This window comes from Homo sapiens, chromosome X (assembly GCF_000001405.40).
Source record: "Homo sapiens chromosome X, GRCh38.p14 Primary Assembly".
Taxonomy (NCBI): Eukaryota; Metazoa; Chordata; class Mammalia; order Primates; family Hominidae; genus Homo; species Homo sapiens.
Genome location: NC_000023.11, coordinates 8,428,256 through 8,449,436, shown reverse-complemented (window position 1 = coordinate 8,449,436; position 21,181 = coordinate 8,428,256). Strand labels below are relative to the sequence as shown.

Sequence of the window (21,181 nt, the reverse complement as noted above, 5' to 3'; positions counted from 1 at the left end):
TTATATCCTCACACATAATATCATATTTCTTGCACCAAAGCAAGGCTAATGTGGGCTTAATTAAAACAATGTTGAAATACTTCTGGTTGCAAAGCTGGGCGCATTCAAGGACTCCCAAATGCAGCACAGTTCTGAATGCTTGGCAGATGCACAATATATAGGTGTGTATTCCTTTTTGAAAAATTCACACCAAGAAAATGAATGCCTGTTTTAGGAGAGCAGCGAAGAGCAGTTTACATATACAAACAGGAGTTAGCAAACACTGAAGGCGGCATGGCAAAAACTCAGCAATGCATCTGCAGAGCCGGGTACGGCCTGGGATCTTCCAGAAAGGCTTTCCTCACTATTCCAGTTGGAAATCAATCTCTTCTTCCATAGAAATCTTTCCTTTTTTTTTTTTTTTAGACAGTGTCTCGCTCTGTCGGCCAGACTGGAGTGCAGTGGCACGATCTCAGCTCACTGCAACCTCCACCTCCTGGGCTCAAGCAATTCTCCTGCCTCAGCCTCCCGAGTAGCTGGGATTACAGGCATGTGCCACCACGCCTGGCTAATTTTTGTATTTTTAGTAGAGACGGGGTTTCATCATGTTGGCCAGGCTGGTCTCGAACTCCTGACCTCAGGTAATCCGCCCGCCTCGGCCTCCCAAAGTGCTGGGATTACAGGTGGGAGCCACCACGCCCAGCCCTTCCATAGAAATCTTATAGAATCTGTTCCTGTGTTCCCCCTTTGACTGTTGCTTCATTGACTACTGCTATTTAGCATTGCACATTTACACAGTGACTATTTTTGCTTGTCACTTATAAATGGGATGCCTCATATAATTCACACTGTTCCTATGCTTCCTGTCTCTGGGTATGAATGACATCAACAGGTGATGACTCTATATCAATATATTTTGTGAGTGCTTACAGCCACATGTCTTCACTTTGCTTACAGCACAAGATGCTAGTCTTGAGTTTTCACATAGAAATACCAACAGTTACTCTTCTTTTAGGTAAGAGGACCTGAAAAACACACATTGGCCCTTTGCTTAAGCACAGTAAGCTACTTTTTCAAAATGAAACCCACACAGAGTCCTTATTATAAAATGCTTCTTCTCCTAAAACATGTTATCCTGGCTACAAAACACAACTTTTATAAAATAAGTTTAGGATACAGTCTTAACTCCAAGTCTGTCTCTCAGTACATATTTGCTGTCTGACTAGTCAATTTCTCCATGGTCTTTGCACTCACAGTGGTACCCCATGGAAAATATCAATTTGTTTATTGTTCTTTTGCGGCTTTGAGAGTTTTCAAGAGAAATGGCAAGGTTTAATAGAAACCTGCTTTCTGGGAAACCTTCTCTCCCTCCTGTCTTCCCACTGGTGCATTTCTTGCAATAGCTCCATTAACTATTAAAATTACCAGAGACATTCCCAATTTTGTTTCTCGTAATCAAACATAGAAAATATACAAACAACATTTTGAGCATTCTTCAACTATTTTCTTCATGCCTGAACTAGACATTGGGCCCTCTGGAAGTAGAAGTCGTGATCATGTTTATTCTAAATGTGATCATTCACACTTAATGATTAAATAATGAATTTCATTATTTAAAGGATTATACATGTTAAATATTCATTCTATTTTGAGTGACTCTTCCACTTTTCTCCCAGTGCTTTTCCTGGCTTCATCTCCTATAAATCCTCAATTCATATGTGTCATTTTGTATCATACAGACACGTCTAAAATAAGATAGCAGCTAAATTCATGTTGTTTGCTTTGGGAGAAGAATTCTGTCACTCAAAAGGCAAAATGATGCCTGACCTTAGGAGCCATCACACAACTTCCTGTCAGATGGACATATCCTGTGGTTTAATAGTCTTTTAGTTCTGAGCTGAGCCAACGTGATGTCCCATGTGTGAATGCCTTGTCTAAACGCATCCATCACAAGAGACATCTTATAGCAGAAGGCTCCGATTTTAACTGTTGTTGAAATCTGTGCATTGCTCACATTTGGCTATCTATAAACGATAAAGTGGAGAATTGAGACAAATATTCAGTTAATTTTTTAAAATCTTAATTTTATCATGATCTTTGTAGTCCTTAAGGTGAAGATCTTAAAGTAAAAAGAGATTTGAGTCTTTCAAATAGGTAGAAATAAGGGGTAACTTAGACTATTAAAATACAATTGATTTCCATGTAACTCAAATGCTAATGTTAAATTTTAATATTATAAAGACAACAAAACCAAGACATAATATTTGGATAGCAAAAATTCTCTCTCTCTGTCTCTCTCTCTCTGTCTCTCTCTCTCTCTCTCTCTCTCTCTCTCTCTCTCTATATATATATATATATATATATATATCCCGATATGTATCTGAGGGCAGTATTTTACTGTGTAAATAAAATTTGCATGCACAAAAAATATTGAGGGAACTTAAAGGATCAAAACCAAGTACTGAATTTTCAGAAATGGATTCCTTTCGGGGATATTACATATTTTATTAATTTAAGTACATTACTAACCCTCTAAACCACTGACAAATGATCTTTCTAATAATGTTCCACATATAAATTGAGTAGAAACTAATACTTGAAAAATACACATAGTCAAAATAAATCAGGAAATGAGTAGCTTGTTTCCTTTAGTGGTCAGAAAACATTTTCCCCCACTTTAGGATATGTGTGTCATGTATTTCCAATAAATAATTGCTGAGCTTAATACTTAGGTGATAGGTTGATAGGTGAAGTAAACCACCATGGCACATATTTACCTATGTAACATACCTGCACATCCTGCACATGTACCCCAGAACTAAAAATAAAAAAAAAAAAGAATTGAGGTGGACAAACACATTTATTGAGGGCTTGCTTGCATGATGGTGGTTACTACATGTTTCAAAATAGTATGCCTAACCTCCCTAACCTTTTATCTGTTTGACAAATGATTGAATGTTTTCATCATCCATATCAAAATCAAATAATTTTAAAGCTAAAGGGATATGTAGACATCTACCCATTGATCTTTCCGTATTTGACATGTTCTTGGAATTTTTTTAATAGCATCATTTTTCTGCCACATCAAAAGAATATCGACTGATAGTGAAATACTTAACATTTTTCACATGGAAGAAACTCTCTCTCCCATATTGTGAAACCCAAAACAGAGTCATATTCAAGCAAGGGAGACATGCTATTTTGATTCCCTAGAGACTTGCTGTATCCATGAATTCCACTCCTTATTAATTCTTTAATTTACAGTTCTTATATTGAACTCAGGAAAGGTGTGTGTAGTTGGTCCTGTGCTATGTGTTGGGAGGCTGACCTCCCTTCTAGATTGTACAAACAACACAGTGGGCTCATGGCATTCCCGGACTCGAGTCCTCCTTTTGGTCTATTCACAAGTGACCTTCAAATTCCACATCAAGGAATGAGTATGAATTTTGCCAAGGCATTGATTCAAATTCTGGGCAAGTATGTTCTGCAGAAACACATTTCATAGCTTCATGGTGATGTGAGCAGTAACTCTGGACTTCCGTGGTTTGGAAGTCTATAGGTTTTTTGTTGTTCTCTACTCATCATGGCAAAGGCTGTTTTTCCATCCTCACTTTATCTTTGCTGTCTAGATACTGACAAAAGATACTGATAGCCATCTCCACCATCTGTATGGGTTAGAGTATGCACTCTGCTGGATCCCATTAATTTTGAAATTTGCAAAGATTTAAAAACATATCCCTTGCAAAAATCAAGGCTCCATTTTAAGCACACACTTACAGAACTCTGTGGGTTTATCAGGTATTTCCACTTAAATGGTCTTTTTTAAACCATCATGGACAACAACATACGTTGTTCTGCTGTAGGGCTTTATTTCTCATCAACTAGGACACATTACACTCTCCAGATTAATAATAATTAATTTGTGTGTGTGCATGTATGTGCTCATATGCAAACCTGCAGGTCTGAAAAGAATGACATTTAATTTTAAAATAGAAAAATTTGCATTTTGAAATATAGTTGAGAAATAACAATGACATGGTTACATCAAGCCTTTGAGAAACAGTAGAGCCCATGAGTCAATTTAGGGAGACAGCCATTATTGTAAATCAGAAGTGATGCTCAAATGATTTCAGGTTAATTAAAGCATGGCTTGACCTTATTGCCCCATCAACCTCAGTGGGCTGGCATGACCTGGGTCAGAAATTCCCCAAAGAGGCCTGCCTTATCAATAAATAAGCCATGAGTGCTGATATCATTATTTTCGAAACTACAGCAGGTGACAGACACTTCTGTGCTTTAGAAATCAATGTCAAATTAATGAGTTCAGAGTCAAACGAAAAGTGTACACCTGCATCATCTAAGCCAAATTACATTACTGAAGCCCAATAAAATATTAAATAATATCTCAATTTCAGGAGTGCTGTCTTTCAGGCCATGTTTTTCTACTTCACAAGAGAATTTTAAAAATAGAAAGAAACAAAAGAAAAATGCATATGATCAGTTATTAGATGAAATCAAATTACCTGTCCCTTGAAGAAATATTAAATATTTATTTCTGGATGACTCTTTTGAAAAGGTGTTCATGTTGATGGGTGCACATCCATTTTCATTTTTAAACTACACATTAGTGAATTACTAATACAGGCATTAAACAGTATAATGCTTCAACTTATAAAGCAAGATGGAACATAATTTACGTTTTTTGGTATGTAGAGCCTGTAAAACCCATACAGAAAGTGAGGTTATACAAGTGAAATCCAGTAAAAAAAAAAAAAAGTCACTGATTATTAATATTTTAAAATTCATGTACTTATTTCCCCTCCAAAGAGGGGAAAAACAGCTTGAAGATGCACACATGGCTTTCTGCAAGAGTTAAATTGGTAAAATTGCCTCAAACACAAGAAGGAAGGAGGCAGCTGAATAAAGGGATGGAGTATCCCTTGCTGGAAAGATGAATATGACTGCTGCTTGTGTGAGAACCTGAATTGTAGCTCATATTTTTTGTTGCCCGTGGACAGAAAATCTGTAAATAGGAAAGAGCACAATAAGTAGGAATATATGAATGCATGAGTGAATGCATTTGTCCAAAAAAGAACTCAAATATATGACTTGACTTTATAAATGTAAGGTTAGAAAAGTTGGCTGATATTTTAACAACAGTTACACAACGGCACACCATCATCATAGTGTTTTCAACCACGGGTCTGTTCCTTTTTTTTTTTTTTTTTTTGCACGAAAAAGATCCTTAAAAACAAACTGTGTATCTCCTCAAGCAATATCTAATATTCCTTATCCAAATGAACATGTATAACAGGTGAAAACTGCATTGAACGGAATCAAACTTGAGTGTTCTGAATGAGCTTTACAAGGGACCTCGGAGTGAAAGAAAGAAAACCTTCTTTTTGGTTGTGCCTGCCAGTATTTCAGTGATCTTATAAGAGACAGGTCATTTATCCAATCAGATGCTTAGATTTCTTCATTTCTGAAGTGAACTAATCAACAGATTTCTAAAGCATTTCCACGTAATGCATAGATGTTCATTAGCACTACCTGCCTAGATAAGTTGGGGTGGAACCAGCAATATTTCCATAGATGACTTCATTGCAGAATTTAGCTTCAGCCATGAGAATTCTGTTGGTATAAATGAAGTGCAAGGGAAATTTATTCAATCAGGGCTCTGCAGATGGTTTAAACAGGTGCACTGTTTGGGGGGTGGGTTTCGGTTGTCTTGCTGTGGGTTGCACAGGGGTCAGAGGTTATGCTTCAACAGCAAGGTCTTGGATGCCTGGCAAACCTCGGCAGCGCTTTCTGGGGAAGAGAAAAATAGAATGTATTCTTTATGAAATTTATGGGCTGCAAAAGACAACTGCACCTGCATCTGGTTTCTCTTACTGAAAACACATGAAAGCTGTCACCAGGAATGGAAAGCTCAGCTCCCTAGTTCCTGAAAGTCAACAATGCAGGAACCTCGAGGAGATCTGGGATGTATCAGACATGTACAAAATAATCAGCTGATTGCCACAAAACTGCCACTGGGACCAGCACTACCTAGACATATACTTCAGGGACACCTGAGCTTTTGACCAGGAAATTCTATGAGAACAAAAAAGTTCAACTTTGAGTGGGACCTACACTTAATCTACATGACATGTACAAAAAGGATTCCAAATGTTTTGGGTCTGCCTATGAATCTCCAAATTTCTCTCTTCTTGTATTTGATCAAAGGTAATTTTCCTGATTGGAAGTTATATAATGTTGAATAGAAGTGTTTTTTTCAGTACAATTCATGTTGCTATACGAGAATTTGTTGGGATGTAAAATCAGTCCTGACATTTCAAATACTCCAGCTGTATTTGCAGATTTAAGCCCACGCTGCCCAATATGGCTGGTACCCACCTCCCTCAGTTTCTACTTTTGAAGAAGAAAAATGATTATGGCAACTCATCCTGATAGTTTATTAACAACTCATGAAATTGTTAGGCAGTTTTTTAACTACAGTTTTGAGAACTTTTCATGAGTTGGGTACTTTGCCTGACATTTGAAACTCAAAGATATATAAACTATACATCCCTCAGGATTGATGGTTAGGGTATTTCATTTTAGTTCATTACTGTGCATATCCATTTCTTTACTATGGAAATAACCTCCACGTTTCCATGAAAGACTGAATTGAGAGACTGCAGATTTTACTTTCACTTGACAACAATGACTTACTTAGTTTGGGCCTTTGTATTAGGTTGGTGTAAAAGTAATTGCGGTTTTTACTTCAATGGCAAAATCGCAATTACTTTTGCACCAACCTAATAAATGCATTCCACTCCTTGAACTCCAGTTCCTTCATCTAAAGTGAGGAACTAGAGCTATAGATTGTTTCTATGGTTCTTTTCAATTCTCACTATCAAGAATTTTGTAATTATAGGTGGCCTCCTAACACTCAGACATTATCCTGGGAGTTTAGCTTTGCTAACTAGGTAATACAATGGTTAATGTGTACCAAAGATTTCTCCTGATGACATGTAAAACCCCTATTTTGTGATACTGAAAACTTATATTTGCTGGGTGATAATTCTCACCATATTTCCCTACTGGAATGGTCTCCAGATAACTTATGGCAGTTTTCAGATTCTGAACCCATCTTTATAAGAATGTTTATTTATAAAATGTTTATTGTAATAAATGTGTCTTGATTTTCGATGAAAATTCTAAGACAAGACCCAAGAGACATTGTGGGTCATCTAAGTATCACAGAAATAATTGCATAACTTAAACTAAACACTCTACCATCCACTGCTCCAATCCAATTAATTGGCATTTTCTTGTATGTACAATGCACCCTTATGTCTTATTAGCTTAGCATTTATTACACTGGGGGACAATAATGTAGTAATGTTTGATTGTCATATATTTCCATATTCTTAAGCAACAATATTTGGCAAAATGTCTAGCTGAGAGTAGCAAATACATTGTTTGTCTTCAGACAACTATGGAGAAAATAACTGGTTCTATTTGTTCAAATAAATCTGTCACAGAAAGTGAGAAGTAGATGTGGTTAAAAATGTATGGGAAAATATTCAACCTCACTATCAAAAGAAACACACCTTGTAAAAAATATTACCAGGCTTTCAATTTGTTAAATTCATAAAACATTTGAGAAGATTGCCTATGGTTTGTGAGAGTGTGTGCAGTGGATGCAAATTGTCATTTGGTGAGCTTTTTGACAACATGTATCAAATATCTAAAATATATGTATACTCTTTATTTGGCAATTTCATATCTGAAAATTTATCCTAAATATATTGAACATAAGCAGCTATCAAAGAATCAAATATTAACGAATGTCAACAAAATTGAAACAATATTTGTCAAATCTTAGTCAAAATAGCCAAAACCAGCGACAGAAAAGTGTGTAAGTAAAAAATAAGATGGCATAGCATGCAATTGTTAAAATGTTTGAGATGGGTATGAAAACATAAAATGAAAAATGGGCTAACACATTTTAATAAATACAGGACAAATAGAAAGCAATACCATTGGTAAATATGGACTCATACAAGATAATTACGGGAAGGCCATACACTAGATAATAATTGCCAATAGCTAGAGGACTATACATCTATTTTTAAATTGCTTATAAGTAATAGGTATTGATTTTATAACATAATAAAATTAAATTCATTTTGTTTAAAAACAGGCATTACAAAACCATATTTGTCTTTCCAACATTCATTTAGGTTTTTAGCATGGCTGAGAACTTGTTCTCAAATCTGCTCTCAAAACTAATGCTATCCACAGTTCAAGCTAACATACGTATACACTAGCTTTGAGCCAAACCCTAGATCTTTACTAAATTTGTTTCTATCAGTTCATTTTTAAAGGAGATATATGAATTCGCCTTAAGAAGCCAGCATGAGGACACAAAAGTCACCCAGAATAAGCAGTCAAAAGTAATGTAAGTGGACAAAGTTTTGGCAAATTACTTTAAAATCACCTGTTAACCAGGTGGACTTAGGTCAATTCACCCAATGGATTGACCAATCCTACACACTTTTAAAAGAGTCTAGTTCATGGGATGGAGTGAACCCAGGCAATATTTGTGGATGACTCCCTTTGGTATTGGTGATAGAACTGTGGTTGTTGGGTTGTGCAGTACCACACCAGTAAGAGACTCTCCAATTGTAATCTGTTCCCATGGGTAATATCAGATGAAGACTGCTTAAAGCCCAAATAATGAGACCACTAATAGGGAAACATGCTATTGACTCCTGTGGCAAAGGAAGGGGAGTAAAAATAGGAAGATGATAGGTTACTGTTGATTGACACGTACCTAATAGGCACAATCTTACGCCAAAATAAATATGCATTTTTGTGAGCACTTTAGTTCTAGTCTTTAAAATCATGTCCCTAAGATGTTTCTTCAAAATATTTTGAGCAGCAACGACATCTGTAACAGGCTATTTTTGAAGCTTGTTAGCATTATTATAAGTAGATAGTAACAAGAATTAATACCTAAAGTCATATGGAGTGAAATTTGTATTGCATCTTAGAAATCAAAAAATCATTGCCCAATTATGTTATCTAATTTTTTTCCCAATAATGTACTGAGTTTGGACTGTATTTATCATATTTTCATAGGTTAGAGGAGGGCTGAAGAGTTAAATAAAAGGTTTGTACAATTTTGTGTTCTTCATAAAATATTGAAAATAACATATTTTTATTAATCCACAAGTTCAATGAATATGAAATAGAGAATAAAGGGAAAATAGCTCTTCCTACCCTATCCTTCTATCCCTCTACTCTCCTGATGGTAACCAATGTGTACAGCCTCATACATATTATTTTTGGTACATGTCAAAATACACATGGTACATATGTCAAAATACAAATGACTGCATTAAGTACACACATTTTCTGTACTACTCACTTTTTTCATTTAAAAACATGTATTAAAAAACTCGATAAAACAATGGAGATACATACCCTTCTTAGTTCTTGTTGACATTTCTTTATGCTGATATATGATTTCCTTAACCAGTGCTATACTGTTCGTTGTTTAGGAAGATTATAGATTACACTCTCAATGATTTGAAGAATTATCTTGTGCATTTATCTTGTAGGATTGTGATACAATTTCTGAAAAAATATGACGGAATTTTTTGGTTCCAGTTATGAAAATGTTAAATTCATATTCTCTCAAATTGTACTTTGCACTCTCACTACTGGTTGTACAAAAATACAAGTTTCTTCACACTATTTCCGATATTTTATATTACCTTTGCTAATTTATCTGTAGTCTGATAGAGTCAAATGGTATCTTTTTATATATTAAGTATTTCTTCTACAAGCATTCTACACGCAATTTATAATTCTCAGAATTGTCTGTTGTATTCCTTATTCCTTTTTCCTGCTGGGTTTGTGGCTTTCCTATGGATCTATGAGGTTTTTACATAATTGTATAAGTAAGAATAATTATAAATTTTATATTTAATTTTATAATCTACATTGCTTGTCCCTTGTGTCCACATCATTGTTAGGAGTGGAGAAAAGTGTTGAATTTTTACGTATTTTTACCTGAAATACAACAAATTTATAGAATGATGAAAGAAAATTTCAGAGACTCCAGTTAAGATATGGTTCTCAAATCTCACATAGGAGACCTGCAGGTAAACGGAGGATAAGCATTGTCTAGTGTCCTGTCTCACCTATGGGTAACTGTCAACTCATATGAAATATAAATTTCTTAACTAATGAAAACAAACAGGCTATTTTTAGTGCAGACAGAACTACTGTCCTACCTTTTCCCACATTCTAAACTAACACTGGTGGTATCATAAGAAGTAGGTGCAGTTGAGGATACATTTTTTAAAAATAAAACTGACCAAACAATATATAGGTGATAGAGTTTGGATTTGTGTCTCTGCCCAAATCTTATGTCCAATTGGAGGAGGGGCCAGGTGGGAGGTGATTGGATCATGGAGGCAGATTTCCCCCTTGCTGTTCTCGTGATAGTGAGTGAGTTCTCATGAGATCTGATGGTTTAAAAGTGTGTGGCACCTCCCCCCTTGCTCTCGCTCTCTCTGTCTCTCCTGCCATCATATGAAGAAGGTGCTTGCTTCCCCTTCGCTTTCTGCCATGATGGCAAATTTCCTGAGGCCTCCCAGTCAAGCTTCTTGTTAAGCTTGTGGAACTGTGAGTCAATTAAATCTCTTTTCTTCATAAATTACCCAGTCTCACGTAGTTCTTTATAGCAGTGTGAAAACAAACGAATACAGTAGGTAATGAAATTAATACTTCCAATATGCATACTGACATTAGTAACACCTAACCTGAGCATAACATACTTTGCAGAATGCCTTAATACTTCCTCTGCCTGACATCTAAAGAAATCTGACTTGCTGTCATCCTCTTATATTTAGCAAGAGGAGATGTTTTCTATGTCAAGAAGTGTTTTTATGTCATCTGTCATTGCTGTGGGCCCTCCCTTAGTTTATCTACCATTGGAAAGCAACTTGTAAGTATCATTTTCAAGGAACAAGAAAAGAATATATTTTTGCTGTGACAGAAGTCACTTCTTGTAACCCTGCCTGTTACATTCCTTGCATAATGTCAGGTCCATATTCCCAGACATCTGTTTGAACACAATGTAGGGGCATCTAGCCATTCCCAAAAGTGAGAAACCTACAAGAACACCCAACATTGTTTTGGGGTTTGATCTGATTGATCCACATTGAATTGAGTTGAAGAGGAAAAAAACAAAACAAAACAAAAATGAGAAAGGTTTTCCATTTTTCCGGTTTCCTGTAACTGTACAACAGAAAACTCCAAACGCATTTAGAGTGGTGATTCAATGCATAGTAGTAATCCATGCTTTGCAATATCCCATCATGCATAACATAATAAAACAAATCAAGCTGGGGTTATAGAGGTGGACTTTTAATCACTGGCTTGTTCTGAATTTCCCTGCATAAATACTTTTGCGTAGAATCAGTCATTCTTTGAAAAATATTCTCAACCGTTAAAAATCACAAAACAGATTGAATGTTATTTAGCCACAAACAATAGAACCTACATCCTTCAGCTGCCATGCAGCTACCATTTCCTTCTGTAGCATTACAAGTTGCTTGCAATGCTTTATTTGCTCCCACCGTGCCTAGAATATATATTTGGTACATAATAAAATTGACCCACAGCCAAGTGAATGGTTTGATTTTTGCCTGACTCATTTACTGAGATTTGTTATCCATCTGTCCTAGAATGGAATATTTCTGCCTTGCTGTAGACATGTGAAAATGAATGGTGAGAATTCTTTTGGTTTCAAGGAATGGAAGCCACATCAATCTAGCTCTCAATTTCATGGGAATCTGGGAGAAACTGAGTAACCAGTACTTAGGAAATGTAGGCACCTAACTGTTACAGTAGATAGTAGGGCAGAGATGAGCAGGATGGGAGACGGCCCTCTCACCTCCCAAGGAATGTCAGAGGACTATCAGGTGATGTTCAGGAGGTTGTTAAACTGTCTCTCTAAAATAGTAATTGGTCACAGCCAAATCCAGGGAAAGGTCAGTCTCCTAATAGGTAGAATCTGGTGATTAGCAGTTTCCTGATAAGATCTCAGGAGTTGGGTGATTGGGCTCAAGGATGTGCAGTGCAAGGCAAAATGGTGGAGTTTAACTGGTCTATGACCTTCCTCTAGGAATGCTCGACTGGTAAGGGGAAAAGCACCTCAAGTGAGCATGTGCACAACTTCAGTAAACACACTGCGCATGCAGCCCCTCCCAAGTGCTAGCAATGCCACTGCACATGCAGACAGCCCACCCCAAGGGAAGAATCAGAGAAGAGACGCAAGACCCCTGAACCATGCCATTGTAAAACCCCAAGTCAAAGGTCAACTGTACACTTGAATCTCTCAAGTTGCCCGCTTGACCCTCTTCCAAGTGTAATTTACTTCTTTTCATTCCTGCTGTAAAACTTTTTAATAAACTTTCACTACTGGTTTCAAGCTTGCCTCAGTCTCTCATGTGCTTTATGCCCCCTCGGTTGAATTCTTTCTTCCGAAGAAGCAAGAATTGAGGTTGCTGCAGACCTGTATGGATTTGCCGCTGCTAACATAATAAAATATGTAGTCACTCATCTGCTGTTATCTTTCAAACCTCAACTCTGAGATCGGTGATATTTCTTCCAGATTGGCAGCTTTCACAAAGTTGATTTACAAGCACAATGTCCTCAAGCAAACGTTACTCAGCCATACCACGGGCCAACTTTTAAGTCAGAAGCGAGATCTTAGAGACTTGGTTTCACACCATCGAAAAATTATGACAGTTCTTAAAGACATTCCCCAGACATGCCATTGTTTTTATGGCAAGAATATGAATATAAAACAGCATTTATTCAGAAAAAAGATGTCAACTCCTTATCCCATAATGAAATTAATTAAGCCTTGATGGGTGTGAATACCCCTTCTCTTGATTTGAATTGGGGAAAGGGTGTGGCCTAGTGGGTCGTACTGATAGCTTTTCTCCAGATGCACAAGCATGGGCATCTTAACACATTTGGAGAGATGGAGTTGTAAGCACCTAAGCCATTGAGCTTGACTCTCCCTCTGTGAAGGAGGCATCTCACATTTGACCTAGAGAGATCATGTAAAATGCTTGAAATTTGAACGCAAAATGCTTAGTCTCAGTATTAATTGTCCATTTTGCTCAGATATATCCTACCTCCAAAACCATACTTCTATAATAGATGATTTTTTTTGTTATTAAGTTGCTTTGGTTTAACTGCACACTTTATAATAACTGAGCCACAGGACGTGTTGGAGATATCTATCTGGAAACACTGGATCTTATTATACAATCGCCTAGCAATATATTATTACCCTCTTTCCTAACATTTTCATTTTTATAGCAATACTTCAAAGTGCTATTCTTTTGTAAAATAATGTAAGCTAAGTTATTTAATCATTTTATATTCGATGAGCAATTATGTTTTCATTTTACACTATATGAAAATGAACACTTGGATTTGTGTATCTATATGTTTATATCTACTCATTCTTTTTTGTTTGTTTGTTTGTTTTTTGAGACAGGGTCTCACTTTGTCACCCAGGCTGGAGTGCAGTGGCATGATCATGTCTCACTGTAGCCTAGACCTCCTGGGCTCAGGTGATCCTCCCACCTCAGCCTCCCGAGTAGCTGGGACTACAGGTGTGCACCACCACACTGGCTAATTTTTGTATTTTTCTGGTAATTTTGCCAATGTTTTGCCATGGGATTTTGCCATGTTTCCCAGGCTGGTCTTGAACTCTTGTGCTCAAGTGGTCCACCTGCCTCGGCCTCCCAAAGTTCTGGGATTACAGACTTGAACCACCTTGCTTGGCCTCTATTCATATTTTCTAAATAGCCATATCTTTGTACATTACCTCCAACATTTTTCATAGACTAGTTTATTTGAAAATTACATTGACAAGAGATATATACTCTTTAAAATTATATTTATAGAGTGAATAAGTATATTGTGAAAATTTGTATAAATTTACACATTTATAACACCACTAAGATTATATATAGGTTTCCATTTCAGCCCCTTTAAATAAACATGAATTATCACTTTGTCAAATATATGCCAAAATCATAGGGAAAAAACAAGAACCTCCCTGGATCTTTTTTGTGCATGTGTGTGGAAGGGATAGTAGTGAGGTTGAAACATTTTTATGTTTACTAACTATTTTTCTCTCTTCTGGAAATTGCCTGTTTATAACTTTACCCACTATTGTTTTAACCATAAAGGCTATTTTGAGGGTAAGGAACAGATGATGTTAACTTCTTGCTTACGGACATAGTATGACCATTTGTTTCCAGAAAATAGTGTCATTTTGGCTTGTATATAGTGCATTTTCCATAGAAAATGAGTGACAGGTCAGGATTTTTCTTCACAGTTTTATTATTATCATACCTAAAAATGCCTTTCAGAACCGGAATATTACAAAAAAGTCACTCTTTTTTTGTACAGTTATAGTCTTGTTTACTACACATGAATTTCTTATGTGTACCTAAATTATAGTTTGCTGTGCTGGGTGAGGTAGGAGTCCGATTTTCACTGGAATAATTCATCTTTTCACAACTGGTTTAGCATACTAGCTTTATGAGCTACTGCAGTCTATCTATCTGATACAGTTTCCTGACTTTTGAGTTCTCGGTTTATTCCAAATTCTGTGTATTCTGCCTTTTGTTACAATTTTTAAAACCCTACATGTTCCAGTGCCCCTCCCCCCATGATTTCCCATTTCATTATTTTTCTGGCTATGTTTTTCACTACAGGTGAATTTTAAAAGTCAACAGAGGAGTTTGTTTGGAGTCATTTTGAGTTTTTATTAATTAATTTAGGCAGCTTCAACATTTCTACAATGTGTCATCTCACTTACTGACAATTTATGTTTCAATTTTCTGAAGCACTTTTTCTTAAGCTTTATGCTTTTCTTCACATTTTTCATTCCTGCTACTTACTAAATTGGCTCCCGAGAATGTAATTATTTTGTTTGCTACTAAGAATGTGATTTTTCTCACATAATATTTTCTGAGTGTCATTTGGATGTAGAAACCTGTTTATGTAAGTATCTTTCTGAATTCTTCTGAATTCATGTGTTTTGTCAAATTCTTTTCAAACTCTTCTATAAGGTTTTTTTTAAAAAAAACCCTTCATGAGATTATTTAATCATTTTTATGATAGCAGAACATATTTATTTATTCTGATTGTGCTTAAAAAGATTTTCACTGCTTCAGTGCTTAGCATGAAGATGGTATTTGTCTTATGTCATCTTTCAGATCAAGAAAGTAGTAAACTGTTCTGAATTTTGTCAGATTTGGCATTTTAAAAATCTTTTGAAAGTTGGAATTTTCAGCCTTTTTGCCAAAACAAAACTGTCCATTAAGATCTTTGGCACCAGAGTATCCAAGAGAACCCCTTTAACCTCTTTTTCATTGTTTATGTAGAACTATATTGGGGTTTTCACAGTGCTCTTGCTTTTCTAGGTGTGGCTGTTTTATGGGCTCTTGTGACACCTGTGCATACTTCCTGCAGCACAATAATGTACGTACATACATATACATACACACACTCCATATATATATATACACATATACATACATACACACACAGTTGGTTCTTGTTATTTATGATAGTAATGCTCTATAAAGCCACTGTGAATGCTGAATTATCATAATACCATTGCTCTTAGGAGAAACACAGGCTTAGGGAGTCTATGAAGTCTCTGGTCACAACATTTTCATCAATTGGTCAATACATGACCTTGGTTTGTGTATCTCTGTTTAAAGACACTGTATTTAATATACATAGTTGATTCATTAATGCTGAATGCACAGCCAACAGCACTATGACTCATGCCTGAGAAAAGCTAATTGAACACACCCATCTTCTCCGTTGGACACATCAGAGCTTTTTTGTGCTTAGCAACATTAGACAGCACTTCAGCACCAGGCTTGGGTGCCATTTGAGAGTGACATCACCAACAAAAAGCACAAAAATGTGAGCAATGTGGGTCTCAGTTATTGAAAATTGTCACCACTCTGTGCATGTCTCTGGATGACTACGGAAGTGCTAGATTACAAATCAATTTTAGTATGTAAGCAAACTTGCAAATATGGAAGTCAACAAATGATGAGGATGTGAGTGTGTCACCTGAAATAGACTGTGAGCTTCTCAGTGTAGGACACAGACATTTCTCATCCTTGTTCCAGTGGAAACAGCATCATGCCTAGCACTGGGTAATCTATAGACTAAGCTGTTCTTACACTTTTTAAAATTATAGAGTTTTTTTTTAAACTTGAAATGCAAATAAAATAGATAAATTCAAATAAAATAGATAATAGTAGATTTCCTCTGCTTGATATTTTGTCATTCACCTTGTCCTTTGGGCAGGTAAAGTGAATTGCAAGAGATTATATTACAAGCAGGTAATTACAAGCCTCTAGAAATGATGCTTTTCGGATTCTAGGATCCTAGTTGAGTGCATTTTTCTTTACTCCAAGCTGTCTCACTTCCCAGGCACTCTTATGATAAACTCAATGATGTTGCCTCTCCTAGAAAACATCACTCATAATTCTTAGTTTCATGTAACTCCTGAGCTCTTTGCAGTGTGAACATGTCTAATATATAACAGCTGGTTTTGAAATGACGATTTCACCACAAATTGTAAATTGTCCAGTCAGGATCTTAAATGCCCTTTTCCCATCAGGAATCATTTGGTAACATAGTCTCCTGGAAGTAATAATCTCTGCTATATATGGAGCCTCATTAGGGAGGAGTGAGCCCCCATAATCAGTTCAGATGCGTGATTTAAGGAGACCTACACCAAACTCTGCCACTAACGTAATTATCCATGTAGGAGGTCTTTGGGAGGGCTTTCCACACATTTTTATCTTATAACTCACCCCTGTGTGGAGTTACAAGAGGACTGTGTTTAAATGCTTGAGGTTTGATAATGTAAAATGAAGCAAAATTAGACCTTAATCTGTGTCAACACCAACTAAATGAAGTTTTCAACATATTTAGTCCCTGGTCCTGGCAGAGAATCAGGGTGATGTAGCCAAGAGTTCACATATGTCTGCCAGCTCAGCTTTTCTTTGCTATAAGGGCTGCATGAGAAAGGGTTCCCATAGACCCAGTGGCCCCAGAAGCTGCCTGGAGCACACCATCCCCTTTCACAAATCTAATGTTCTGGGAGAAATGCCGACCTAAACAATGTGACTCCATGAGAGAGGATCACTGAATTCTTTCATCTGCTCATCTCCTGTAAACCCACAATGAAAAGTGCTCTGCGTAAACTTCAGGAACCTTTTTCTCATGTTTATGGTAAATATCAGGAAACAAGAACGTGTTTCCTATCTTGTAGTTCTGTTACCTACAACCAGGATTCCAACATTATATAAAGCACTGAGCTTCTCCTTGGCTTCCCTTCTCTGGATAAGCATATATTTTAGAGAGATTCTATTTTCACATGAAGAGTTGGCTAAAGTCTCATTAACTTAGACCACATTTCACATAGAAATGGTTGTGTTTCTCTGGTGCTACAGCCTCTGTCCACAAAGAGTGGAGATAAGCTAAACTACTTGCTGTAAAGAAATGCATCATGCTGTTCAATGGAAGGGATGTGACCTAAAATTTGAGGGTTCAACCTGCAGCAAGGAATCCAGGATTACAGAAAAGTTAAGCTTTGCACATGTTCTGATGCCAGGAAACAACTTATCTTTCATCAAGTTATGGGAGATGAAAATATACTTGGCTTTTAATAATCATTGATCTTTTCTTTTGTCTATCTATCTTGCTTGTTACCAGAAATAAAATGTATCTATCTATCTATCTATCTATCTATCTATCTATCTATCTATCTATCTAATCTCTATGTGTATCTATCTATCTATCTATCTATCTATCTATCTATCTATCTATCTATCTATCTATTCATCCATGTATGGATGTATCTATCTATCATCTATCATCCATTTCTACTTATCTCTCTCACTACCTACATATCTATCATATCTATCTAATCTCTGTGTCTATCATCTATCATCTATTTATATCTATCTAATCTCTATATCTATCTATCCATCTATCATCTATATCCATCCATCTATGTATCTATCTATCCATCATTAATCTCTATCTATGTATCTATGTATGTATGTATCTATCATCTATATATCTACCTAGCTATCCATCTATCATATGTTTTTATGTAGGTATCCATCTATCTATCTTCTATCATTGATCTCTATCCATCCATCATCTATGTATGTATGTATGCATCATGTATGTATGTATCTATCTATCTACCTGTCATCTATTTCTATCTATCCATCTCTGTATGTATCTATCTATCTTTATCTGCCTGCTTATAGCACACATCTATCTTTTGATGGTCTGCATTATTCATGCAAGAAATGTGAACACGGTGCAAATCTTTTTTCTTGTTTACTTGGGTTTTGCTTGCAATATTTTGAAGAAACAAAACCCATTTGAATGAAACCATGATGTGTGCAGTCCCCAGGAATGCAGTAAAACTCCCCAGCAACTCACTTGCCCCAGTGTGTATGTCCCTGGGAATGCGGTGAAGCTCCCCAGCAATTCACTTGCCCTACTCTAAGAGAGAGATTTTTTTCATGGTATAAGTATGTAAGTGTTTAGTGTTCGTTGTATTCATAACTAATACAATTTTAGGCACTCAATACAAATCTATGCAATAATATATTCTGTTTAATAAGAATATTTACTCAAGCCCGTAGTTAACTTTATGTGAGTCATCTTGTGAAGTGGCAGAAAATCCAAGATAACATAATGTTTGTGAACCTGTATTTACTTACCTTATAGTACCACTTATATCTAAATGCCTGGGAAAATAATCATTTAAATTGAAACATTAAAATACTACATCTTTAGGTCTCAGTGCTACAGTAGACTCAAATGTTAGCTATTTAGGATCTGCTAAGGTCATATATAGTTTTCAAATATTCTATGAAAGGAGAAAAATTCAGCTTATTTCCTGAAACCATGGGGTTTGTAAGGAAAGTTGTATTATCTGATAAGAACAGACGTTTTGTATTCCAAAGCAGATAACATTTAGGCTTTTTTACTGTTCACAAATAAGTCGTGTATCCATAAACTGGGAAAAACAATAAAGGAAATATCATTCCATCCCTTTAATTTTAAGGACCTGAGACTCCTTGAGTTTATTCGTGTTCCAATAAAAGGATGTAAAACCTATATGCAAAAGCTTTTAAATCATCTTAGATACATGCTATTGCTAATATGCCTTTGAAGCTATGCCTTTGAAGCGTCCATGGGTTGCAAATTTACAAAGCCCTCCACACTCACTGTATTCAAACTATTCTTTGACATACTTCTGATTTTCACAGGCATCTCAGGAACTTAAAGCATGTTGCAAACACTAATTACATGTAAGTATGTGAAGCATGTAAGAGAGCAAACTTGAGGAAGATAAATATTAGCCCCACTTGATCGTGATGTCAAGTAAGATGTAGAGGCTGCCCATACTTATGCCACATCTCTGGAACTGGGCGGTGGCGCCTACATGCCTTTATCAACTGGATTCACAATGTTGCTGGCTTTCCTCATTAGCTTGCGAAAATAATTATGGCAAAGCTCTATTTCAGTACTGTACAAAGTGCTAGGTAACTGTAAAAAGTTACTTAGAATTGAGAAGTCAAATAACTATTAAGATTAAGTTCAACTTACTTAGAATTGAGTTGTCAAATAACTATTAAGATTAAGTTCAACTTACTTAGAATTGAGTTGTCAAATAACTATTAAGATTACAGATCGACTTTCAGTAAAATTCTGCCTGAGTCTGTCTTCAGAAATTGATAACAAGGAGCCACATACTCATGTGTTCAGATGTTGTTTGTGAAAATTAATACAGATGCAGAGTCCAACTCTCTTAATTTCCTGGAGTAGGGGGCCCATCACAAGCAAACTATGAAACCTAAACAAATACAGTAAAACGAATACAACTGATCCTTGAACAACATGAGCTTGAACTGTGAAGCTCCACTTATATGAGGATTTTCTTCCACCTCTGTCACCCTTGAGACAGCAAGACCAACCCCTCCTCTTCCTCCTGCTCCTCAACCTCCTCAACATGAAGACAAGGATGAAGACCTTTATGATGATCCACTTCTACTTAATGAATACTAAATATATTTTCTCTTCCTCATAGTTTTCTTAATAACATTTTCTTTTCTCTAGCTTACTTTACTGTAAGAATACAGCATATAATATATATATAGCATACAAAATATGTGTCAGTTGGCTATTTATGTTACCAGTAAGGCTTCCAGTCAACAGTAGGCTATTAGTAGTTAAGTTTTTAGGGAATCAAAAGTTGTACATAGATTTTTTTAAGTGCATGAGGTCTGACACCCCTAACTCCTGTGTTGTTCAAAAGTCAACTGTACATCTGAATATGTATGGGAACAAGGCCTATCTTTGTTAGGCATTATGGATGATAAAGAATTAACCATGACTCTTGCCTTTAGGAGTTTGCCTCTAAATAGAAAGAATGGACCTCATTTTTTTTTTTTTTTTTTTTTGAGACAGAATCGCTCTGTCGCCCAGGCTGGAGTGCAGTGATGAGATCTTGGCTCACTGCAACCTCCACCTCCCAGGTTCAAGCGATTCTCCTGCCTCAGCCTCCTGAGTAGCTGGAACTACAGGTGTGCACTACCACTTCCAGCTAATTTTTGTATTTTTAGTAGAGACAGGGTTTTGCCATGTTGGCCATGCTGGTCTCGAACTCCCGACCTCAAATGGTCCACCTGCCTCGTGGCTGGGATTACAGGTGTGAGCCATCACACCCAACCAGAATGGACCTCACATTGACCACATAGGCTTTAAATAACAAGCTGGGAATTGATACAACAGACAGCCTTGAGTTCAATCTCTTGAGGCTTGCGGCATGGAGCAAGAAATGTAGAGCGTCTAAATCGTCCCTTTCTGAAGATTAAGTTAGTCCTAATCCGGGAAGAAACTTGCATAGCTGGTAATGATTTTTTAAGGTAGCAACTCAATGACAGTTCATTGTCAAGAACATGTTAAAGTCACCAAGAGGAGTGCCCTTCAATCTCAATTCTCTAAAGCTAAAAGTAGAGGGAAATCCTCTGCTCACCTGAGCCAA

At 36.4% G+C, this 21,181-nt stretch overlaps 1 long non-coding RNA gene across 3 annotated transcripts in view; it reads right to left on the bottom strand.

The window, feature by feature from the left end:
- LOC107985675 (uncharacterized) overlaps positions 1-21,181 on the bottom strand; it is a 528,885-nt gene that overhangs the window by 6,948 nt on the left and 500,756 nt on the right. For all 3 annotated transcript variants that reach the window (XR_001755783.2, XR_001755782.2, XR_001755784.2), the window contains one exon: positions 9,457-9,609. This is a non-coding gene — a long non-coding RNA (uncharacterized LOC107985675). The remainder of the gene's footprint in view (positions 1-9,456; positions 9,610-21,181) is intronic.